We start from the raw sequence: 24,460 nt of genomic DNA, 5'->3' as shown, positions 1-24,460 counted from the left end.
AGGTAGAAGAACAGCCCAGTGCCCATCAAGGCCCACACACAGAGCCCAGGGCAGGAAACCCACACAGGAGAGCCACAGTACCCACAGAAACCACTCCCATCAGCCCTGCAGGACCCTGAAGACACCTGGCCACTGCTCTTCCCTCCAGGCCCGCCTGGGAAGGCAGTGGGATAGAACATACAGGGAGAAAGGAGTGCTGTTGGGGATCCCTGGGACTTCCCCAAGGTGCCCAGATGGCCCACAGAAGCACCAGGAGAGTGAGTCACAGCAATTGCTGGTGACCAGCAAGGAGACAGTGAGGATTTCGGAGCCCAGTTCTGGGGATTCTTGGGCCCATTTTCTTTGTGCACAGTCTGGGGGAGGTGGAGAGGTCAGTTCCTCTTAGATCCTTTCGAAAGTCTCCTCAAGAACCCCATCCCAGTATTGTTCCTCTTCCCATCCCCCACTCCTAACACCCCAGGTGACACCTCAGGGGGACGTTTGTGCTTGGACTTGTAGTCCTAGTCCAAGCAATGACCTCCCACTGAGCGTCTCAAGCATCAACCGCAGCACTGAAAGTGTGTGCTTTGCCGCACAGGGACAGAACCCTGGAGTCCTGCTGTCACTACTTGGTCAGCTGAAGAACGGTGTGGGAGCACGGAGCAGGAAGCAACTCCGGCAGCCTCCATGCAGAAACTGCGCTGTGAGCTCTGCCAGCAGAAGCAAGACAAAGAGGAGGGCCTGGCTGACCCGGTCACAATGCAGCCCACCGGACACCTTGCTTAACTGCGTCGCACAGAACAGGCTGCCCTTCATCACAGCCTCGGCCACAGGCCAGGGCAGCCATGGGCAGGGCGAGAATCGGCAGCCACCCAGCTGCTCTACCATCTGTAAAATGAGAGAACGTGCGGCTGAAACTATAGGACACAGCACAGACGCCTGCCCGGTAGAGTACCCCAGGTGGCTGCTAATCACTGCATGCTGACCACCACCCCCCGCCCCACCACCACAACCATGCGCCCTTCACAGATGGAGAAACTGAGGCTGGCAGCAGCAGTGACATTGTTGGTGTCCGGATAGCACCCCCAAGGCTGGCGTACACGCCCCCGAGCGCTCGGCCCCTGAGGGTGGCTTCCAGATGGCCTGAGAGTCAGCTGCCTCTGTTTTCTTAGGAATCTTCAGCAAAGGGGACAGATGACCTGCTTGTGTTGTGCAATTTGTGTAGTGCTCTGGACCTCCCTCTCTGGGGTCACTGTCTGCTGCCGTGGCCAAAACAACATGTGCTGATTTGTAAATAAACACAGTGAGGAGCCCCCTGAGCCCGCAGGAGATGATGATGGCGCTGGGGGCTGAATTTCACAACTGCGTCCCTTTTTGTTTTCAATTAGCTGAGGAGGTGGCTGCCTGCAGGAGGGCAGGAGGCGAGGGGGAGAGGCTGTTTTCCCTCTTGTTCTCGGGGTTGCCCCAGGAAGAAGCCATTCCACAGACAGGCAGGGCGTCCATCCACTAAGATCCCGCTCCTCCTGGGCTGCCCTCCGGATTGGTGGATCAGTGGATTGGTCGCTCCAGGCCCAGCCCAGCCGCACTTGGCAGGAGCCCAGCAAGAAGTGTTGTCCTAGAGCCAGGCAGAAGCAGGTTCCTGTGTTGAATGCAAAGGGCAGCTCTGCATTAGCAGGCTATTCAGACGTGCAGATGCAATTTTAAGAGCGCTTTAGTAATGACAAACATCGTGTTGAGCACAACGAAGGATAAACAGGGATCATGACAGGGAGAGGCCCTTAGATCTCAGTGTTCCACCCTCGAGAGCAGGAGTGGCCCAGCCCAGACTGAAGGCGGCAGCCACTGAGTCCTATTGCAGGGCTCGTGTGTAGAGAAAAAGAGAATGGCCGGAAAGGAAGATGACTTCTTTCCGCGCTATGGGCCGTCTCCCCAAGAGGTGGCCTGTCTTTGCACACTCGCCCTGAACAGCACGCTGCACAAGTCTTCTGCCTGTCACATGTCCACCTGGGGTGTGTTCCCTAGTCCATGCTATCTGTGGAATGCTGTGCGCAAAGCTCCCTGGCATGCACCAGGGAGAAGAGCATTTGGTGGCCATACCAGAGTGGCAGATGCTCACAGAAGACAAAAGGCATGCAGGATCTGTTCTCCACAGCCATGAAGCCCTGGACAAAGCTGTCCAGAGGGCTCAGCTGGTGAGAAATCAGCCAGTCTCCTGCAGGCTCCTCAGCTTCCTTCTTTCTGCCCCTCCCCCGGTGCATGGGCAGAGCATGGCCTCTCTTGCTAAAGGAGAAAAGTATTACCTCTTAGAAGTTTTTCTTATTGCAAATTCAAATTAACTATGTACTTTGATTCCCAAATATCATCACTAAACACTACAGAAAGCTTTAAGAAAACAATGCAGAAAGAGCTCTAATGCACCCAAAATTGTCCTTCTAGAGAGCACAAGGCTTTGCTGAGACATGATGCTTCCTAAGTGATATCCCATCATTTTTGGATGATTCCATTCAAGAATAAGCAACAGGGTTTTTCTAAACCCCTGGTGGACATATGACAGAGTTGTCTATCAAATACATGAATGAGTCTGGGGGCCACATGTGTCTTGGTACAAGAGGATCAAGTATACAAAGCATTCTAGTAATTGCACCTTCAGCTTCTTGTCCTTGAGGCTTGGCTTCTCCCATCCCGACATGGCACTCACGGGCTCCCTTCTCCCTCTGGAGGTCACCCAGTTTTCTCCTCCCTGTGCCCAGCACCTCAAGAGCATGGAGGGCCTAAAGGACAAAGGAAGGAAAGAGACCGCACCCCACAATCCCCACCCCCACCCTGCTGAGGAGCGCAGAGGATTTGAAAGAGGCAGAGATGGTTAACTGATGGCACCAATGCCAACAGGACTCTGCATTTGGCCAGAAGGACCTCAAGGAGGCCTAGGGGCATAACGGAGACCCAGTCTTTTAGCACAGGGAGAGACAGCAGCCCTGAATATGGCCGTGAGGAGCTCCTGTTCTCAGGAAGTGGCCAGTCCTATGTGGGTGGCAAGCCAGAGTTGCCCGGTCGGGGCAGACAGACCCGTTGCTCACCAGCCTCATGTGGCCTCAGATGTCTTTTCCAGTGTTAGGGGAATGACATAGCATGAGGCCAAAGCCTCTCTGCTGCATTTTCACAGTGGAGTTCTACATGGAGCTGCCTGGGGATGTGATGTCAAGGGGACAGCGGCCTCCAGGGTGAGCGGCCTCCAGGGTGAGCAATGGCCCTTTATTTGTCAGATATTTGGAGAAGTAGAAACTGCTAAGAAGAGGAACCAAAGCCTTTCAATGTCATGGCCTGAAGAGAAGAGACACTTACAGGGATGACACAGATGGAGGCAGCAAGACCAGCCAGGTCCACTGGCTCCTGGGCCATGCAGCCTTGGGTCAGGGCACTGTCAGAGAAGGTGCCCTCAGGTAGAAACAGTCAATACAAGCAATTTATTCACTTCCAAGAAGGAAGCCTGAGCTTCCCCTAGAAGGGAGTTGTTCTGCATCTGTTCTCACTACAAAGCCACTTCTCCTGCTTCTTAGCTTCCCCTTCCTTCACCATGATGCCTCTGAATTAGACCCACTGGCCCCAGGGCTTGCCTCCCCTGCCCCCTGCACCTCACTTCAGGATTGCAGACTAAGGAGGTCCAAGTCAGCCCTTCACCTTGCATGGCCGGCTGCAGTGAGGGGAGGGGGGCAGGGATGGGTTCATGTGAATGTCCTGGTGTAAAGGTCAGAGCAGAAGCAGAAACCTGGAGGGGCATCTGCAGACATGAGGAGCAGGAGGAGCTGCAAGAAAGAATGCTCATTCCTTCCTTCTTGGTTCATCTTCCAACCCCTGGGTTTCCCCACATTCCAGGACACTCCCCAGCCTGCCTCCCCCATCCCACATCTCCGCGTCCATCAGGGTCTCAGTGAGGAGCTCAGTGGGCACAACCTGGCCCGGGACTCACTGGAGATCCAGACCAGACTCATCTCCCCTGGGCCAGCCAAGGGCTCTGGGCACAAGAGGTAACACCCCTGTCTCCATTTCCTCACTGTACACTTCAGGTGCTCAAAGCCACATGACCCTGCTGGCAGGCTGCGATGAGAATCAAATCAGAATCATCAGTGCCGCCCTCTGAATACAGGCATGATGGAACCTGGGCACCTCGAACCCTCCCGAAACACGGCGTGCACTCAGCCTTACCACCCTCACCACCCACACCCAACATAGGACTCAGAATTGTCTGTTTTTCTTCAAGAAAATATGAGGGCAAGCCCCGTGAGCCTGGACCCTCTCACCCATCCTCCTGAAGCAACAGGACCACAGAGGGGAGCTGGCATTTATTAACCATCAACAGTATGCTGGAGTCTACTCTTCTGGGGGCTGCCCAGTGGAATCTCTTTCTGCAGATAGCAGGCATCTTAAGTGAGGTGGGTAGCACGTCTCACATGTGGAGTGTCTGGTGCAGAAGCTACTGCCTGCCAGCCACACCCCATGGCATGCCTCCCAAGGTGGATGGAAAGTGCCCAACACACCCATCGGCCACACTCTGCCACACCTCCCAAGGTGTGCCCAATGCACCGAGGAGACAAGCCGAGCAGAGTGCCTCACGCTACCTGGGCAGCAGGGCAGATGTGTGGTCTCCCGCTGGAGATCAGGAGTAATCTTGTGCCTGGTGTCTATAAGATGGAGCAAACACTTCTGCATAATTGTCAATTCCAAAAGGGCCTTGATAACCCCTTAGACATTCTGAAGAAGGAAAATCTTCCAAGTTACTTTTTAGCATGTGTCATTTTATTACTAATTGATCATATAATTTTTGTCATTTTTATTGTAAAGATATGATTTTTTTTTGAATGTGCCATCAGGGTCAGGCCCATGTTGAAAACAGATGGCACAGGCACAGGGTTAACAGAAGAGGGACTCATGAAGGGATGTGTCCACAAGGGCAGTGCAGCAGGCATGGCATGAGGGGCAGGGGTGAGAAGCAAGGGAGAGGCAGATGCTGTTGCTAAGGGCCAGCCTTAAGGGGCATGGAGTTGGCAGAGAGGCCACGGAGCAATGAGGAGAGGACTGGCAGAGAAGCAAGCACGCAGGCTCAGCAGAGCCTCCTCAGCGGGGAGGGCTGGTTCTCCCTTCTCCACGGCACACTGCATTCATCACAGGGCCCGTCAGTCTGTACAGATGAAGGGTAGCTGCAAAGCCTCTGCTCCTGCTCCCACAGGGAAGTGGAGTCAGTTCCCAGTCCCATGAATCTGGGCTAGCTCCATTCACTTTTCCAGGGGACATACCAGGAGAGACACACATCGGAGGCTCACTCAGAAACCTGGCAGCTTCCACCTCCTCTCTTGCAACCTTCTCCCTCTGGGAGAAAGTCCACAGACCCCAAGACAGTCAAGATGGAGACACGTGTGAGTGCTCTGGTCAATGGCCCCTGCCAAGTTCAGCCTCTTGGCTACCCCCATAAAGGCCCCAGCATGGGGATGAATCTGTCTTGGACTTCCCCAAACAACCCACATGCCAGATGTGGTATCACAAGTAACCTCCATCAGCTCCGCAGGGAAGAGAACAACTGTTCAAATTCCTGACCCACACAATTAGGTGATACAATAAAACGATGGTTGTTCTCAATGTCTACATGGGGGTGGTGTGTATGCAGCAACATCACCAGGACCTGAGTCTCTGTTTCACTTTCAGTCCCCTCTATGAGCTCATTCCACATCTCCAGCAGCACTAAGCTGTCACAGCGGTGACACAGCATGGGCATGGGCTCTCTGTGCTGCATCCTGGTGCATGCAACCTTGTCAAAACAATGCTACCTGGTTTTGACAGTAGTAACATATTGGTGTGCAAATGTACTTTCACACACACCTCAATACATGCAGGACTCATGCTCGGGCTAATGTGCTTGGGCAAAGAGGCATTATTAGCAAAGACCGGCATTTAACTGAGTTTTTAAAATTTCAATGAATACCTACTGAGGCTTTAATAGATCCCAGGTACTGTTTCTGGGATGCTGGTGATGGAAAACTGCTTTCCACTCAAAGAGATCCTCTGTCTTCATTATAGGAACTGCATGTGGATGCCTGGAAACCTGATCTCGCTCAGCTTGGTCCCAAGAATGTGAGATTCTGACAGCAGAAATGCTTTGTCAGCCCCACGGGCAATGGAGTCAGTGACTGATACTCTACCACTCTGGTTCTGATGGAAATAAAGAGAACAGCTGGCCCTGCTCCTGCTTGCATCGCCAACTGTGGACACCTGAGCCAGCCTCAGTGTTTTCAGGTGGAAGCAGGCACAGCATCACCAGTGTGGGCTTCTCCCCGGAGACTGGAGGACCACATGGGGAATGCACATGATCACATGCATAGTGCGCTATGTGCTGTGAGCAAAACCAGCTCCTCACAGCCATGCTTGTTAGAACCTGTAACATCAACCACATACACAATCCCTAAGAGGGAGCCTCAGAATGCGGTGTCCTCAAGCAGCGCATGTGCTCCCCACCACTCCACAGGGCCCAGTGGCCCACAAGGCGTGCCTTGGAATGCTATGCTGGACACAGATGGGGCATCACTCACCTTCTCTGTGCTTCTGTGTTCTCGTCCTCTGTATTAGTTCATTCTCACACGGCTATAAAGAAACACCCAAGACTAGGTAATTGATAAAGAGAGGAGGTTGAATTGGTTCATGGTTCCACGGGCTGCACAGGAAGCATGGGGAGGCCTCAGGAAGCTTTCGGTCATCGCGGAAGGCAAGGGGCGAGCGAGCAGGAGGAAGAAAGGGTGGGGGCAGGGCTTACACGGTTTTAAACAACCAGATCTCGTGAGCGCTCACTGTCACAAGAGCAGCACCAAGAAGCACTACCACAAGAAGCACTCGCGTGATCCAATCGCCTCCTACCAGGTCCCACCTTCAATACTGGGGATTACAGTGCGACATGGGATTTGGGTGGTGAGACGGATCCAAACCATGTCATCCTCCAAAGAAGAGAGTTAAACTAGAAGCCCCACGGTGCCCCTGACCCCATTGCCAACCATCCGTGATGATCACTGTGGACATGGTCAGGGTTTCCCCTCGAGCTACAACAGGCACCTTCAGAGGTGTCTCATCACTGCCCCAGCAGTGCACACGGTCTGCAGTGCTCATTTCACACGGTGGTTCTCCTCCAGTGTTGAGAAGGATTCTGAGGCTGTGTTCAGACACAGCCTGTCAGGTGAGTTCGTGGTGGCTGCCCAAGAGGAAGGAAGTGGTGGCGACTTACATGTTGATGCTTTGCCAACCCAGGTTTATAGGAAGTCCGGTGGGGAGAGGACTGCATGTCACGTACATGGACTGACAGAGAAGGGACAGCTAAAGTCTCCATATCAGGGACAGGGCTTGCACCCCACTGCTAGCCAGCCTCTGAGGCTGAAAAACAGCTGGTCCTCCTCAGTCACTCCATGCTGAGAGGACAAAAGGCCAAGGTGACCCAGCCTGTGACCGGACCTGAGCTCCAGCCAGGTCAGAGAATGTGCTTCGACCCAGCAGCCAGCCCTCTGGATGACTCCACACTCAGGGCCTGGAAAGTGAAACCGCTTGCGGAAGGCAGTGGAGGTGCAGCATCGCTTTCACTCCGGGGGCTTAGGGAAAAGCATCCAGCGGTGTGTGTGCCCGCACAGGCAGAGTCCGCCTGACCCCGCAGGAGATCACAGTCCCAAGATGTCTTTGCAGTCATCACTCCCTCTGAGGGGTGTCGGGGGCCTTGTGCACAGCATGGTAGTTCTAGGAGTCGTCGTTTTTGCAGGGTTGGGTGAGGCTTTGGAATTTGAAGAACAAAATGCGTGCTTTTAAAAAGAAGTTTCGAGCAAGCTGGGCAGGCTTCCAGCCGTGGACCCTCCTTGTTGTGATGCTGCAGCTGAATGGACAGACAGGGCAGTGCAGGCCTGAGCTCCCACAGCAATGCCTGGGGTGGCTGGCTACTTACTTATGCTGCCAAGGCCCACCTGACCTATACAGGGACAGCCCCTGCCCTCCTCGCCTTCCAAGACCATCTGTTTCACAGGTTTATTCTCATCAAGGCCCCACCACTGTGAGGCACCAGGCACTGGCAGCCAAGGGCAGGAGGACTGGGGCTCTGGCCTCCAGGAGCTCAAGGCCTCATTGACAATTGACAGTGAGCTGGCACACCAGAGTCCCAGGCCAATCTCAGCATGTGCAGGCTCTGCCGGATTGTGAGGCAGCAGGGAGGAAGGCCCAGTCACTTGGCAGGTCAGGGGATATTGCAGAGGGTGTAGATTAAACTGGGCTGTCAAGGAAACAGGAATTTGCCAGACAGGGAGCTGGAGGAAGAGTTCTACACAGAAGACATGGCCCCTGCAAAGCCATGGAGCTATGAGGTGTCGGGCTGCGGGAAGCGTGGGCAGCTCTGTGGTCTGGAGCAGGAGTCCTTGAGTAGGAGGAAGCTGGAAGGTCACTGCAAACAAGATCTAGGCTGGGAGGAGGGATCGGCTGGGTCAGCCATACGGCCAGAGTGGGGGGGACCTGTTGTGATGGGAGGGGAAGCCAGAAGTGCCTAGGGTCTGTCGGTGAGGGGACGAGAAAGAGGCAGGTGTCCAGAAAGGGAAGGTTTGCGGGCACCCGCAGGGGGCTAGCCAGTGGCATACAGACCACAGTGGCTGGCAGGAGATAGAGGCATGAAGCCAGCTCCAGGGCTCTCGGGGAGCGCTCCCCAGCTAGGCTGGAAGAAGGGTAATGTGGCAGGAGGGGGCCAAGGAGGATCTTGGAAAGAGCAGTTGCAGCAGAAGGATGGAAATCAGGGTCGAGGGCCTCTGTTGAAGCCCAGGAAGGAGCTGCAAGAAAGGAGTGGGCATCACAGCCAGCAGCCATGCAGGGCAAGGCAAGGGGAGCAGGAAACACGACCCTGGGATCCGGTTCCTCAGAGGCCAGCAGTGACCCAGTGACAGGGGATTCAGCAGGGTGAAAAGAGCTGCCCTGAAAACCCCACACTCTCACAATGTACACGAAAACAGATGACAGTTGGGTTAAATATATCAATACGCTTTAAAAACTATCAACTTAATAGAAACATGTGGAAGGAGATGTCATAACCTTGGCACAGGACAACCCCCCTAAGCAGAACGTGAAAATCCAGAAGCTCTCAGAATATTGCTACCTGGAAACACATAAAGCCAAAACATGTGTGTAGGGTCAAAGAGAACACAGAGTTTTAAAACAAACAACAAAGTGGGAGGAAACATTTAAGCCCTCCATGACAAAACTAAGGGTTATGGTCCATAATACGTCAAAAGCCTTTACAAATTAGTAAAAAAAAAAAAAAAAAAAAAAAAAAAAACAGAGACAAACCAGTAAAAACATTGGCAAAGCAAAACTTTGTCAAACATTGCCAAACTTTGCAAAACTAGAAAACAAAGACAAACTTTGGTGACAGCAAGAGTTTCCCAACCTCCCTGGCAGGGGACAGGCCCACCATTCTGGGCAAGGAGACAGGACATCAGGTGACGAGAACCCCTGCAGAGCTGAGGCAGCCGGAGCACATTGTCTCCTGTGCCCCTCCCTTCCCTGCTGCAGCCACCCGGAGTCCAAAGGCAAGGCTTTAGGAAGGAGAACACAGAGTAAGGAGGAAAATACAACCTGATCGTGTTAGCTCATTCGATCATGGAGTCTGTCTATTGTAAGAGTTAGCATTAATTTGGGTTGAATTAAGTTGGGTTAAATGTATGAGGATTAATTTTTTTTTTTTTTTGAGACGGAGTCTCACTGTGTTGCCCAGGCTGGAGTGCAGTGGCACGATCTCAGCTCACTGCAAGCTCCACCTCCCAGGTTCACGCCATTCTCCTGCCTCAGCCTCCCAAGTAGCTGGGACTACAGGTGCCCACCACCATGCCCGGCTAATTTTTTTTTTTGTACTTTTGGTAGAGACGGGGTTTCACCATGTTAGCCAGGATGGTCTTGATCTCCTGACCTTATGATCTGCCCGCCTCGGCCTCCCAAAATGCTGGGATTACAGGCATGAGCCACCGCGCCCAGCCATGAGGATTAAATTTAAAGCAACTTTGAACTACTGTACTATTTTTGACCCATCCTCAATACTTTCAAAATATTGCTAACATCCAGTATTGGAGAAGGCATGAGGAAAGAGGCATTCCAGTACTCTGTTGGTGGAAGTATACATTCATACAATGTTGTTGGAGAATAGCTTGGCAACAACCATAGAACATTTAAAATACATACTTAGCAATTCTGCTTCTAAGAATCTATTCTACAAACATATTGCTAGTGATGTAAATATATATGTATATATTTCTACTGATTTCTCTATATATTTATATATATTTCATTGCAGCACTGTTTGTATAAGCAAAAAAAAAGTTCAAACAACGTAAATAGCCACCAAAAAGGCATGAAGTTAATAAAAGAGGACCCATTCTAAGGAATATAATGGAACTGAAAAAATCAGTGGAAAAAAAAATCTCTATGTGTTAACATGGAGGAAGTCCATAATTTATCACATGAGAAGCCAAATACTGATTGAGCATCCTAAATCTAAAAATCCAAAGTGCTCCAAAATCCAAAACTTTTTGAGTGCTGACATACTGCTCAAAGGAAATGCTCATTGGAGCATTCTGGATTTTGGATTTTCAGATTAGGAATGCTCAACCACTGAGTATAATGTCAATATTCCAACATCCAAAAGAATTCAAAATCTGAAATACTTCTGGTCCCAAGCATTTCATATAAGGGATACTCAACCTATAGCAGGATATCTATACAGGATTATTAAAAATATGGGTTTTATTTAAAACACACTATATCACTATACGATTGCTTATATGCAGTTATTTTATATGTATACATGAATCCCCCCCACACACAGAGAGATACACACACATAATTTTAAAATACCTGGAGGATAAATCAGAACACCTGAGGGAGAATAATCCAGTAAGATAGGGATAAATTGGGACTTTCTCTTTGATTTTATTTTTCTGCATTATATTACTTTTGTAATACAAAAGAAAAAATAAGAAGAAGGTAGTTAGTAAAATTGAATAAGACAGTGCATGTAAAAATTGGGTGTGAGAAGAGAAAGAGCAGGTGGCCTGTGTACCTGTGGACCTTCCAGGTTAACTGGAAAATCTCACATATGTACGTATACATGCATTTTTCTTTTCTAAAAGATGTTCTGTCGCTTTTATCAATTCTTAAGAGCAATCCACCAGGCACAGTGGCTCATGCCTGTAATCCCAGCACTTTGGGAGGCTGAGGCGGGCGGAACACAAGGTCAGGAGTTCGACACCAGCCTGGTGAAACCCTATCTCTACTAAAATTACAAAAATTAGCTGGGCGTAGTAGCACACGCCAGTAGTCCTAGCTACTCGGGAGGCTGAGGCAGAAGAATCACTTGAACCTAGGAGGCAGAAGTTGCAGTGAGCCAAGATCCCACCATTGCACTCCAGCCTGGGCGACAGTGCTAGACTCCGTCCAAAAAAAAAAAGAGGTCCAAAAAAGTTAGAAGCACTGATGTATACTATGTTTTCAAGAAGTTTGACCATAAAGGAAAACAGACATGGAAGCCACTTGAAGGGAAAAGGATGTCAGGAAGGTACCTGTAAACTTGGGATAAACATCATGCCAGATGAGGCTGCAGATCTTTCAGAATCTTCTGAAAGATTCTGTATTAATCTAAACCAAGGAAAATGTGGCCACTTTCATAGGCAATCAGTCAAGTTTTCTAGCAGCAAATTTACCCATTGAGCTTTGCACCTTACTGAAAGTTTGTCTGAGTATGAGATTCTAGTATGCAAATCATTTCGCCTCAGGATGTGGAAGGCATCTTTCCACTGGTGTTTGATTCCCGTAGCTGCTGAGCAGGAGTTTGAGGTCAAGTTCATCTTAAATCCTTTGCATATAACCTATTCTCTCTCCCTGTCTCTCTCTCTCCCTCCCTGCCTCTTCCCACTCCCCACCCCAACATGCCTTTAATATCGTCTCATTATCCCTGGTATCCTGAGTTTCATGATGATATGCATTGATGTGGGGCTGGGGGGATTTGTCCACCATTGCGCTAAGCACTTCATGTTTCTTCCAGCCTAAAAAATCCCCCTCCTTCCATTTTGGTAAATGTCTGTGATGATTTCCTCTCTCTCTCTTTTCTATTTCTGGAACTCCTCTTTTATCAGATGTATCTCCTTGAATAGTCTTTGAATTTTCTTCTTGTATATCCCTTTGTTTTTCTGTTCCACTTTCTGGAAGAGTTCCTCAACACCGTTTCTCAAACTCCTATTGAGTTTTTTACTTAGGCCACATATTTTTCTTTTCTAAGAGCTCTTTCACATACCTTAAAAGTTATCTTTTTAACATCTCACCATTGGCTATTTCTTTGTTTTTTTGCATTTTCTTTGAGTTGTCTTTGTTTTTCTAATGCATTGTACTTCTTTCCCTGAGTTCCTTTTTTCTGTTTGTTGCTGTTTTGTTTGTTTGCGTGCTTGTGTCTTCCCAACAGAGGCTTTCCCCAGCTGCTCAGGTGTCTAGGGCCATCTCTTTCACTAATTAAGGCCCCAGTCGGCTGGCTGGAAGCTCAGTGTGGATGACCAGAGGTTGTCATAGGATCACTTCACTGTAGGTTTATCAGATGGGTACCTGGTGGTCTTATGCCAATTAATAGGTCATTTTTCTTTGGTTTCTCAGTTTCACCAAAGAAGAATCCTTTGACATTCTGGGTAACGGGCATAATCCTGGTGGCAACATTCCCAAAACTGAGTGGAGGGCTGAGTGGGAGGGATCTGACTATTCAGAAAGCAGGTTTTCACTTAATTCACCTGCTCTCCATCTAGGTTCTGTGTCCTCAACTCCGACTGGAATCTCCAAGTTCAGAGCCTCCTGGGTCAGTGTCTCCAAGGAGTAACTCTCCTGCCTTCTGCAGGGTGGCTGTGCCACACCCTGGCCTTTGGTGCTTCTGATTGCAAGTCTCCTGGGGTTCCGTGTGACCATTGTTGCAGCTGTAAAACATGGTTCCACAGTTCTCGATGCTCTTCTATTGAGAGGTAAGGGTCTATGGACCCTTCAATCTGGCAGGCTTGTGACTGCTTCAAACAACAGATTATGGTTAAAAGAAGGGCAATGTGACATCTGCATCTAGGTCAGAAAAGGCCAAGCAGCTGTCACCTAGAGACTTGGAATGTTCCCTCTGCGCACTTAGCCACCATGCTGTGAGGAAGCCCCACCACATGAAGAGGCCACGAGGAGATACTCTGTTGACAGCTCTAGCTGAGTCTAGCTTTTGAGTATTCCCAGCAGGGGCTCCTGACACAGTGGATCAGACATAAGGTAGCCCTGCTCTGCTCTGTCTGAATTCCTGACCCACAGAATCTGTGGGGATGATAAAATGATCTTTGTGTATTCTCATTTGGGCTAGTTTGTTGTGCATCAACAGTAACTGGAACAACCATAGGTTTTCTTCTTTGTTATACCAATACCACCACCCCCCTCTCTCTCACACACACACACACACACACAAACTTGCTGGTACATAGGTTTTAGTTAATACCTGTGTATTAACTAAATACACAGGTATTAACTAAGCTAAGCCATGTACTTTCCATTTTCCAAAATTGTGTTGACACGTCTGATCTGCTGGTATCCACATCCCTTTGGATTGATATCTTTTCCTATTCATTTACTATAATTTTGTGATGATTCAGAGGGAATGTAGAAAAACACACATAATCGATGTGCCAATTTTAACCAGAAATTGCAGCAAACCTTTCCTTAGTGCATCTAAATGAGTAAACCCAGAGCCAAATTAAAATCACTTCAGGTAAACTGAGGCAGTAACTTGGGAAACAGTTGTGCCCCAGGGTCTCCCTCAGCCACAGCAAAATCACTGCCATATCTGTACAGTCATTCTGAGCCCAGGCAGGCTTCACCTTCCATTGCTTCGTGTACATGTAAAATATCAAGAACAAAGGGGGAAGCTTCCTGCATTGATCTCCAAGATGCTTAGAGCTCACCACTAATTTAAAATAAAAGTTTGATCCAAAATGAGGCAAGAAATTTCCCCAAAGAAAAAATATCTCTCAATGGAAAGTAGCTGAATGTCCTGTGAGTTGGGCTGGGTCTTGCTGTAGAGGAGGAATGGCTGGGGCCCCACAGAAACGCAGGCTTGACATTGGAAACAGTGAGCTCAGGCCCTCTCGGCCACTGGAGCAGTCACAGTGCAACCCCCACTCCCCCAAGGAGTGTGTGGCTTTGACAGTGACTTAACCACAAATGGTAAATCTGGTCAACTGACTTTAATTGTGAGCTCCGACTAGGAACAGGTGGAGTCTGAGGTTTAATACTACTTAGATCAGTAATTTTAGATTTAAAAACATCGTTCCAAGGTCACAGGCTGCATCCATAAACCTGGCAGCCCTATCAGATACTTCTCTGTTGTGTGTGAATCAGCAGGACCTGTCACAGTTCCTGGAAAAACAACTCCAAACACACACCGCCCCGCCTCCCCCATAGTTCCGTAAACTTGAAGAGAGAAAGCACGACCATGGTGATTTTCAGTACATTCAGTGGTACCCAGAGCAGAGAATTGCTACAATGCCCTAAATGACTGACTCAAGCACCATTTGGTTTTATAAGAAGAAAGAGAATGAACAAAAAGTCCAGCCAGGGGCTCAGGCTCCCAGACTCTACGTTGCGGCAGCCACTCCCATGCTGTGTACCCTCCCCAGGGCAGGCTGCCCTTTCTGGGCCTTCCAGGCCTAGACTAGCACTTGTCGACCTGGGGTGGCACTGCCTCATCTGCCCTGTCTGGCCCTGTCTCAGTGACTGAGGGCTTCTCCCAGGAGTCAGTGCCTGGGGGCCAGAGCTGCTGACTGCCCTGCAGGAGGCAGCCCGTCCTCCACCACAGGGTGTCCTTCCCAAGAATACACACCATGCACCTTCCAAAGGGCAGGTGTCCCATCTCCAGTACTGTGCTCTGACAGTGTGCTCAGTGCAGAATGGAGACATGAGTGGGTGACCCTAAGGGGCCTCACAGCTCTGAGATCACCCAGTGTTTCACTATGAACATTTCTAATATCTAGAAAAGTGGAAAGAATTGCATCCTGAACTCCACAGCGTGCATGCACCATGAACATTTTGCCATACCTGCTTTATCTCAAATCTGTCCACCCACTCATCAGTCCATCGTGCTGTGTACCTACTTCAAAGACAAGGACAGGCATCCGGACCTTTGCCCTAAGCACACGGGCCTAAGTGTCATGAACTCAGTTCCACGTTTGTTTGATTTTTTTTTTTTTTTTTTTGGTAACATGTGGGTATTGCAGCAGAGACATGTGCTCCTCCGTTCCTAGACAGAGAAGGGAAACATCCGGCCAGACTCATTTTGGAAGGAGTGATTAGCTCACCATACAAAGAATTTTATTAAAAGTTTGCTTCAAGGAGATGCTCCAGGCACTGGGTCCCACACAGCAAGGAAAGTAGCCCCCAGCGCTGACTCTCCCAAAACTGTCCCTCCAGCTCTCCGCAGCCACACTCCACCACCCAGACAGTTTCATACCAGCAACTACACTCACAGAGGTGCAGCATGAGGGACCCACAGCACAGACAAGGGGGAGGGTCCAACGATGTAAAGAGGGGCCTCCCGGGTGCTTCTATCAGGAAGTCTCACCCAGCAAGAGCTCTGTTCCCATCCCTGTGTTTGCACAGGACAGTCCATCCTGCTCTGGTCTCACACCCAAGCTCTGCCTTGGTGTGTCCCTGACTGGACGCCTTCTCAGACTCAGGGCTATGACAGGTCACTTCCCTGTGACTGGAATTGAGTCTCCTGGTTTCTCTCACGTGTGGGGACAGTTTGCTCGCTTCTTCCAAACAGACAGTCTTGCTCTCCATGTTACCATATCCCATGAAAGCAGACACTGAGCTGGAGGCCACCCAGAGCCCTGAACTCGGCGCCTTTCTTTTTCTTAGAGGAAGCTCCAAAGCCCCTACCCCTGCAGCCACTCCGTGTTTCACAGCCTGCAACAGCAGCAGTGGCCCCAGGCTTGCATCGCAAACACAGACTCACACGTTCCCAAGCAAAAGGCATTTGTCAGACCTCCTCCTTACACAAGAGATGGATGAGCTTCCAGGAGCTGAGCCACCCAGGAAAAGAAAACGCTGTGGGGCGTGCAGCTCCGTCTGTCTGTGTTGTCCACAAGCACAGGCAGAAGGAGTCCTAGGTGGGGACGCTTGGCTGGGTCTGGGGTGGGCAGCTCTCTCCTCAGTGCCCTCTCCTCCTGACTTTCTATGTCTCTTCCCTCCCTCATCCGAGAACTGTCCACCTGACCTTTATACCCCTAATGACAGATAGAAGCCTCGGCCTCCCAGTAGGACAAGGCTTTAACCAAGGAGATGATCCCAGGTCAGAGCCACGAGAGCCATGGACCAAGCCAGGCCTCAGCCCGCCCTCCCTGTGCTCGGCTGCTGTGGAGTCAGGGGGTTACCAACTGCGAAGGGCTTGGAGGAGGGGACCCCATCTCTCAACTGGAGGAGTATCACAGAATTCAGACTACGTTTTAAAGCCACAACCCACCACACGTGTCCCTGAAATCAGTCCATGTGGGTGCCCACCCCAATGACGTCTCAGGACCTCTGCTCTGAGGCATCTTGCCTAGGCGGTGAGGTTTTGCATTTTTACTCAGTTTAACTCAGGTTTTATGACTCCCACATCTTGGGAGGAGACAGGGAGGAAGAAAAGTTGGGGCAACACAACCTCTCCAGCATCATCACCACTACCCCCGCCTCCCAAAGCCTCAGAAAAACAAGTCTATCCACCAGAAAGGGCAAAGCATTCTCCCACAGGCAAATCTGCCGCACGAATGCAGAAGGCGCTAATAAACATGATCATAAACTTGGAATCCACAATCCACAACATGTCAAAGGATTTGGAAGAAAACTTTAACTCCTGTGAACTACATTAAATTCTAATCTCCTAGACATTCAGAATGAAAATGCAGCTTGCTACAGCTGGGCTCCCGCTCTGTCCTTTGCAGACTCAAACATCCACAGCATGGTGTTTGTGCAATAAAAACTTTAAGTCAAAGCCTGTACACTGCAGAGATAGAAGGACATACCCAAGATTGTCCTGGTAGCTCAAAATAAATACACAAGCATGCTTTTGGATTCCATCTGTAGGGGATTTTAGCCCTATTTTTCAAAGAGCCTCCTAATCTACTCATGAAAATTGGGTGTTTGTAGCCACTAAATCTAGCAAAATCCATCTAAGGGTAGGCAGGTACAAATGTGCTGACCACAGCACATAGCCAGGTCTACAATGAAGGAAAATCTAATACCATATGGAAATAATTGAGCCTATCAATATCTCCATTTAAAACTCCCTCTTTGACAGGAAGATCCATAATAAAGTTATTTAAGGAGTCGAAAATCTACTTGTTATGTTCTAATAAGAAACGCACGAGTTTCTAAAAACATATTCCAGTCCTTGTGTACCATGCGGCATTTTGCATGTTTCTCTTCCTATATTTTTTCAATAAAGCATGGTGGTTGTTGGCTGTCAATGAAAGCCACCTGTGATGTGTGGAGTTGAACATGGAGGATGTTCGTGGGTTGTCTGATTCTAAGCAGGCTCATGCAGCCTGGAGGTGAAAGTACCTGGAGTTACATTTTTATGCATGGGGGAGGGACAATTTAGTACCTTTTTGGAAATACACACACAAAATATTCAATGATAAGTGATATGGTTTGACAGTGTCCCCACCCAAATCTCATCATGAATTGTAGCTCCCATAATTCCCAAGTGTCGTGAGAGGGACATTGAATCATGGGAGGTAATTAAATCATGAGGGCAGGTCTTTCCCGTGCTATTCTTGTGATAGTGAATAAGTCTCATGAGATCTGATGGTTTTATTAAGGGGAGTTTCCCTGCGCATGCTTTCTTGCCTGCTGCTATGTAAGATGTGACTGCTCCTCATTCACCTTCTGCCATGATTGTGAGGCCTCTCCAGCCATGTGGAACTGTGAGTCAATTAAACCTCTTTCCTTTATAAATTACCCAATCTTGGGTATGTCTTTATTAGTAGTGTGAGAACAGACTAATACAATATGCTTGTGTTCACTTCAAGTTTTCAAATTTAACACTAATGTGGAATTTCATTTTGACCTAGGCTCTTTCCCGGTGAGATAGGATTTTTGTCTGCAATTCTGAACAACCAGAGTTTCCAAGAACACAGTCAACTAAAGGACATTATTATATAAAACTTTCTGACTCAGCTATTCTTTTCCTACTAAATATGATTATTTATGAAAACAATTAGGCATAACTGTTAAGATGATACCACTCTGACCATCAGATGCAGCTACAGGATAGGTTTGAGGAAAGGCAAACACAAGGAAAACAAGTTCCTGTTCCCTTGGTCCCTCCAGGGCAATGCTGGCATCAATGACTCTTGATGACTTTATTCTTCTGTAAATGAGTAAGAAGATGCTAAGAGCTAGGAAGTCTCCATTTTTCTATTTAGAGTGCTATGTTAGTCCATTTCGGCTGCTATTACAAAATACCATAGACTAGGTGGTTCTTAAAAAACAGAAATGTATTTCTCACAGTTCTGGAGGCTGGGAAGTCCCACAGCAAGGCAATGGTAGATTCAGTGACTGGTGAGGGCCCCTTCTTCATAGACCATGACTTCTCACTGTGTCTTCACATGGTAGAGGGGGGAAGGCAGCACTGTGGCCTCTTCCACAATGGTAGTAATCCCATAAATAAGGGCTTCATCGCCCATGACTTCATCACCTCTGAAATGCCCTAACACCATCCTAACACCATCACTTTGGTGGTTAGAATTTCATCATATGAATTTTAATACGAATTTTAGGGGGGACACCATCAGACCATAGCAGTGTTTGACCCCAGCACTTTCTTTTTCCATCATCTTGTGAAAACAAAAGGAAAGAAAAGCAGAGCACCATGCTGCCCCAAGTAAAGACACATTTATCTCTCATTTATTCATTCTATAAACAGCTTTGTGCCCATTACCAGCTAGACTCTGCAAAGACAAGGAACACTAACAAGTGCCCCTGTCCCCAAGGTGTTTGTAGGTATATTAGCCAAGATGAGTTAACACCTATGAAAACAACTCTTAACTCTCAATGATCTAATAAGCTATAAGTTTGTTTATCCCTTTGTCCCAGTGTACCATAGGTTGGGGGAAAGAGTGATCCACACAAACCTCCAGGGACTCAGACTTGCCCTCCTCAGTGGCCCTGTCACCACCATATCCTCGGAGGTCTCCAGGCCCTCTTTGTCTGTCCAGCAAATGAGAGGAGAGAACCTGAAGGAAGACACAGAGAATTTAAAAAGCTGCCACATCCGCCCACATCCTCTGTGCAGAACTCCATCCCAGGGCCACGGTGGCCTGCAGCAGAGGCTGGAAACCCATGAAGAAGAGGGTAAAGAGTGAATACATGCACTGGTAATATGGATGAACACACACTCACAATGGTCTAGTCACCCCAATCAGGAAATAGAAGTCCCTTTTCCACCTGCACTTAGCACCAAACTCCTTTCTGCCCAGAGATGTGCACGCAACTAGAAGTTTGCATCCAGCACTTATGTTCTTTCATTGGAACTCCAAATCCAAGGACATCCTTCCATTTCAACCCCTTCATTTTCTTCTGACAATTTCCTTTAATAAGCACAAGTGTTCCTTTCTAACACATTCAACCAGAACAGAGCAAAGTTTAAAGTAGAAATATAAAATACTTTCTCAGCAGAGAATAATTGTTTTTACTCTAGTGAACCTGATCATTTAATAATTGAAGCTTTCCATAGCAAATGTGTAATCTCCTATAGATCAAGTGTAAATATTTAAAATTATTTTCCAAATGTCCAGGCAACCCTGTGGGTCCTCAGTCCCTTTCTTCTTGTTTACAGAGCTTCCTGTTTGGAAGCAGAGAGAAGTAAATAAGAAGTCCAGGTGCCCAGGTATGCTGAAGAGTAGGTGAGGAGCCATGTTTTTTGTCTCAGTTTTACTTCCAGTGATAGCAGAGCCAGGAGAGCCACATTCAAAAACCTTAGGAGTTCAGCCTGGCCAACATGGTGAAACCCCATCTCTACTAAAAATACAAAAATTAACCAGACGTGGTAGTGCCGCCTGTAATCCCAGCTACTCAGGAGGCTGAGGCAGGAGAACTGCTTGAACCCGGGAGGCTGAGGTTGCAGTGAGCTATGATCAAGACACTGCACTCCATCCTGGGTGACAGAGCAAGACTCGGTCTCAGAAGAAAACAAAACAAGAAAAAACCCTTAGAAGTTGATACCTAAATGGTCAATGGGCACAACAGAAATTTTATTCGTAAATTAAAGCATGAGGCTCAGCAATTGAGTTAGGAAGTTTCTGTCTGCCTATAATCTAAAATTCAGTAAGGCAATAATGATTTCTTCTTATTGCCATGGACCTGTTCAGGGCATCATGCTAAGTAAAAAAATAAAAATAAATAAAAAATAAAATTAAAAAAAATTCAGTGGCTGAAGACAACAGCAATGACTTAACATTTCTATGGTTTCTGTGGGTCTTGGCTCACTCAGGCATTTCTGGCTGGAATCCCCTGAGGGCTGGGCTGCAGTCCCTCATACTGGCTGTCGGCCACTCCTTATGGCTGCTTGAGTGTCCTCGCAATATGTCAGCTGGCTTCCCACAGAGTGAGAAAACCAAGAGACTGCGGGCCAGGCGCCGTCTGTGATCTGTATCACTTTTTATGACACAGCTTCGAGTCACATAAGGTGACCTCCATCACAGTCTACTGAGGGAAGCAGGTCTCAGGGAAGAGAACAGAGAGCTCACCTCTCAGTGGAGGGGTGTCAAGCCATACTACAAGAAAAGCTGATGAGAGAGTTTGTAGGTTGATGTGACTGCCTTTTGAAAATGCAATCTTTTTTAGGGCCTAACATGCAAATCTTGGCTTCTAAAACTAACCCTGAGATAATTTTATATAGCTAAACTCACACAGCCAGGAAGTGAGGGAAGGGAGAGGAGAATAGAGCCTATGGACTCCGGAGCCCCTTCCCCAGCACTCTGAGAGGTCTCCACCAAGCAGGAGATTTTGTTTTTTGTCTGGAGACAGAGTCTTACTCTATCGCCTAGGCTGGAGTATGGTAGCACAATCATGGGTCATGGCAGTCTCGGCTTCTTGTGGCTCAAATGATTCTCCCATCGCAGCATTTTGAGTAGGTGAACTACAGGCATGTGCCATGTGCCACCATGCCTGGCTAATTTTTTTTTTTTTTTTTGGTAGAGGCAGGGTCCCACTATGTTGCCCAGGCTGGTCTTAAACTGAGGTCATGTAAGCCTCCCACCTCAGCTTCCCAAAATGCTGGAATTACAAGCATGAGCCATAGTGCCTGGCCAAGATAAGATTTAATACAGCACTCTCGCTGGGTACTCAATGTTAGCCCTCATTGAGCAGGTGGTGGACAATCCCAGCCCTATCAGAGTAACAAGAAAGGAGATAAACTCTGTGAAAGCCTTCAGGGCAAGGCTGTTATCTGTAGCATCAATAACAATGGTAAATCCTGACCTGGCCTGAGCTCCTCCCAGGACCCACCAAACGCTCTCCATCCCATATCCAGCCGGGTCAAACACCCGAGGCATAATGCTGGGTGCCCTTTTGGGTGTCATTAAAGGAAGAGAAAAAATTAACTGTGAGGGTTTTAGAGACTTAAAACTCTAAAACTAAACTCTAAAACTCTAAATTTGCAGGGCAGAAGCTGCAAAATGACAGCAGGCCCAGCGCCGACGGGAAGCAAGTATGACTTTCCATGGGCCCACAAGCAGCTCTGAGGTCCTGAGCCTGGCTGGTCTGTGACTGTGGAACAGTAAGATTCAGGGTTCCAGGAGTGTGATGGCCAAGAATCCACACCACCCCTGCCCCAGGCAAAGGACTCAGCTTTCAGCTGCAAGAACTCCACAGAAGCCTATATAGGGTCTTGGAAGACAGCAGGGCGTCTGCCAACAGAGTCCCGTCTCTCTCTTCTCCTCCCCCTCACTCCTCTCTCCACTGCTTCACTGGACTTTGAAAAATATCATGGAAGGGGTCATTGGGTCTAGGGCCAAGAAAGGGGCTAAAAACCTCCATCCTGGGTAACTGTCATTAACACTAAGATCATGAAAGTCAAGATAAGCCCTCTTCTCCTTGATCCCCACCCCACCATGAGATTTGCAGGGCAAGTCTGGGAGGGAAAAGAAACGAGTCCTGATAAATGTAAATTGACAGGCACCCCTGTTCACAATCTGTTCTAGGTACAATTCCACATGGCTCCCCCAAGACAAAGATGTTCCCCTTTGATGGTGCTGTTGTCTTGGGGAGAGGCGCAGGCACATTCTGACTGGCCAGTTCTTGCTCCCTAAAATAGCCTGTGGACTATGCCCTCCTCGGGGTCGGGAGGCGGGACAAACAGCTCCTCTCCAGCCCACCCTCATGCTCCCACTCTGTTCTCCTCACTGACCTGGCCACAGGCTCTTCCACCCCAAAGGAACCCATAGTATCTCAGGAGCTCTGCCCTGAGCAGTCTCCTGCTAGGGAGGGCTGGGAAACAGGCCCTCACCGCCAGAGCATGCGACACAGCCTGTGAGATGGTGACAGTGGGTCCGGCTTTTTCGCTCAAGTTGACCAGGGCTTATGCTCCTGCAATGCCAGGTCAAAAGCACAGCCACCAAGTTCTCCTCCAAAGGCCCGACTCCTTTGGAACTCACTTCCTGGGGGGGTCAGAACAGAGTGTACCCCTACCCCGAGTCCTGGCACAGGGACACGGCCATATAACCTGGAGACTCTTCCTGCTACAGCCAGGAAGGCACCTCCTGCCACCAGGAGCCGGGGCTGGAGAGGGCTGGGCTGCCTGCCTGGCTCACACCAGGGGTGGTGTGGCTAGGAAGGAAGAGGGGAATCTCAGGCCTGTCTGGAGCACCTTGGGGATGGAGTCATAGGGGAGGGTCTAGACAGTGGCTATTCATTGCTTCTCCTTCCGGCGCTGCAGAAACTTCCTCCTCAGTCTGAGTTGGGCAGGGCCCACTCGCGTCCGCCTTCGAATCCCTTTCCTGCTGGTCAAAGGCAACCCCTCTGACTCTACCAGAGAGGGCCGGAAATCCAGCTGCCCACAACATATCCTGCCATGGCCTCCACAGAGCGCATGGAGCCCGGGGAGGCTGAACAGGAAAGGCAGAAGTGAGATCCCATCCCACCAGGACAGCAGATTCGGTGCCTTGCATGATGGCAGCTGACTGTGGTGGGTGCGTCATTTCAGGGGCCCACAATGGGCCTTTGGTGCCTCCCAGGAGCCCAAGGTGGCAGTGACTGCACACAGCCAGCTAAGAACGTGTCTGTCTGTGATGTGGTACCCACCAGGCAGGGATGTGGGGCTGAGGCACAGTCTCTGCTCCTTTGTGCAGGGGTGGGACTGCCTGATAGATGTGTTTTTCCCACTGCCCCCACTCTAGCCAACAGCCCGGAGAAGGGGAAGTTTGACGTCACTCATCCCCCACGGATGGCAGTAGCCAGAAGGCAGGGGCCCTGGGGCCACCAAAGGCAAAAGCCCACCAACAGACCCTTGGTTATGATGAGGGTCAAGTGGAGCACATCTTACCAGTGTGTCCCAGAGACCCACGCTCCTCCCAAGATAACACCCAGACTGAGAGCCCACTTCACCTACCCCAGCTTCTCTCAGGGACTCCAATCTGGGACTCTTGGGGTTGGGAGGCTGCATCCTCTGCTGTGGTGGGCCCAGGCTCGGGTCTCACAGGTGCTCCAGACCCATCCTCCTTCCCCCCAGAGCCAGGATGGGGATCCAAAAAGCCAGGAAAGCCAGGGACAGGAACAGGGAAGCCACCGGGAGGAGAAAGGAAAGACAGAGGGGCGGAGACCAGCAGCTGCTCTTTGAATGAAGAGAAAGCATTTCAGGCAGCCAAACAGAATGTCAGCAAACCTCAGAAGTAATTCACTCCCCCAAGCCCAGACTTATGGGGTTCCCACTGGTGCACCAGGCGCGGGCCAGGCCGACCCGGAACATTCAGTACAAATGCTGGGCTGCCAGCTCGTCCCTAAAATAAGACTCCAGCTGTTGGCCATGGAACTGCTTGGAAAGTAGAGCTCCCTGGGACAGGAAAGGAGCCCTGCAGGGCAGAGAAGCAAAGCTGGGGGAAGTGAGGCCTGCTCCCCTGTGGCAGAGGTTGGATGCGAGAGCCGTGTGACTGCTGCCAAGAGCTGCTGGCGTGCGGCCCCGGGGTAGCTGCAGGAAGGCACGCTGACGCTGGAGCCATCCTGCCATTCCCACAACAGTTTCTTCTGAAATCGACATCCTTCTTTTCCTGCACTTTGACCCCCACCTGATCTTGGCAAGGGTCTTTGGGCCACACAAGGCAGGCTAGTGTAGGGGTCCCTTTCCCCCTTCTTCAACATCCTGGCCCTTGAAGGAGTGAAGCTGGGGCCCCAGGAGCCA

The 24,460-nt window shown here is 49.5% G+C and overlaps 1 long non-coding RNA gene across 1 annotated transcript in view, besides 7 other annotated features; it reads right to left on the bottom strand.

The window, feature by feature from the left end:
* The window catches only part of LINC03062 (long intergenic non-protein coding RNA 3062), a 79,977-nt gene extending 56,106 nt beyond the window's left edge, over positions 1-23,871 (bottom strand). The window contains exon 1 of the long non-coding RNA NR_024280.1: positions 23,675-23,871. This is a non-coding gene — a long non-coding RNA (long intergenic non-protein coding RNA 3062). The remainder of the gene's footprint in view (positions 1-23,674) is intronic.
* Positions 270-806: an enhancer, noted in NCBI's record as "H3K4me1 hESC enhancer chr9:92277763-92278299 (GRCh37/hg19 assembly coordinates)". NCBI's record gives its function as "activates a minimal SCP1, AML or CMV promoter by ChIP-STARR-seq in naive H9 embryonic stem cells {active_cell/tissue: H9 hESC(naive)}" and the evidence as "EXISTENCE:reporter gene assay evidence [ECO:0000049][PMID:30033119]".
* Positions 807-1,344: an enhancer, noted in NCBI's record as "H3K4me1 hESC enhancer chr9:92277225-92277762 (GRCh37/hg19 assembly coordinates)". NCBI's record gives its function as "activates a minimal SCP1, AML or CMV promoter by ChIP-STARR-seq in naive and primed H9 embryonic stem cells {active_cell/tissue: H9 hESC(naive and primed)}" and the evidence as "EXISTENCE:reporter gene assay evidence [ECO:0000049][PMID:30033119]".
* Positions 1,345-1,881: an enhancer, noted in NCBI's record as "H3K27ac-H3K4me1 hESC enhancer chr9:92276688-92277224 (GRCh37/hg19 assembly coordinates)". NCBI's record gives its function as "activates a minimal SCP1, AML or CMV promoter by ChIP-STARR-seq in naive and primed H9 embryonic stem cells {active_cell/tissue: H9 hESC(naive and primed)}" and the evidence as "EXISTENCE:reporter gene assay evidence [ECO:0000049][PMID:30033119]".
* Positions 1,366-1,660: an enhancer, noted in NCBI's record as "tiled region #1075; HepG2 Activating DNase unmatched - State 4:PromP, and K562 Activating non-DNase unmatched - State 22:ReprW". NCBI's record gives its function as "activates a minimal TATA promoter and a strong SV40 promoter by Sharpr-MPRA in HepG2 and K562 cells {active_cell/tissue: HepG2 | K562}" and the evidence as "EXISTENCE:reporter gene assay evidence [ECO:0000049][PMID:27701403]".
* Positions 8,135-8,666: an enhancer, noted in NCBI's record as "H3K4me1 hESC enhancer chr9:92269903-92270434 (GRCh37/hg19 assembly coordinates)". NCBI's record gives its function as "activates a minimal SCP1, AML or CMV promoter by ChIP-STARR-seq in naive H9 embryonic stem cells {active_cell/tissue: H9 hESC(naive)}" and the evidence as "EXISTENCE:reporter gene assay evidence [ECO:0000049][PMID:30033119]".
* Positions 14,760-15,269: an enhancer, noted in NCBI's record as "H3K4me1 hESC enhancer chr9:92263300-92263809 (GRCh37/hg19 assembly coordinates)". NCBI's record gives its function as "activates a minimal SCP1, AML or CMV promoter by ChIP-STARR-seq in naive H9 embryonic stem cells {active_cell/tissue: H9 hESC(naive)}" and the evidence as "EXISTENCE:reporter gene assay evidence [ECO:0000049][PMID:30033119]".
* Positions 23,559-24,128: an enhancer, noted in NCBI's record as "H3K4me1 hESC enhancer chr9:92254441-92255010 (GRCh37/hg19 assembly coordinates)". NCBI's record gives its function as "activates a minimal SCP1, AML or CMV promoter by ChIP-STARR-seq in naive H9 embryonic stem cells {active_cell/tissue: H9 hESC(naive)}" and the evidence as "EXISTENCE:reporter gene assay evidence [ECO:0000049][PMID:30033119]".

This window comes from Homo sapiens, chromosome 9 (genome assembly GCF_000001405.40).
Source record: "Homo sapiens chromosome 9, GRCh38.p14 Primary Assembly".
NCBI classification, from domain to species: domain Eukaryota; kingdom Metazoa; phylum Chordata; class Mammalia; order Primates; family Hominidae; genus Homo; species Homo sapiens.
This window is presented reverse-complemented; position numbering and strand designations above follow the sequence as displayed.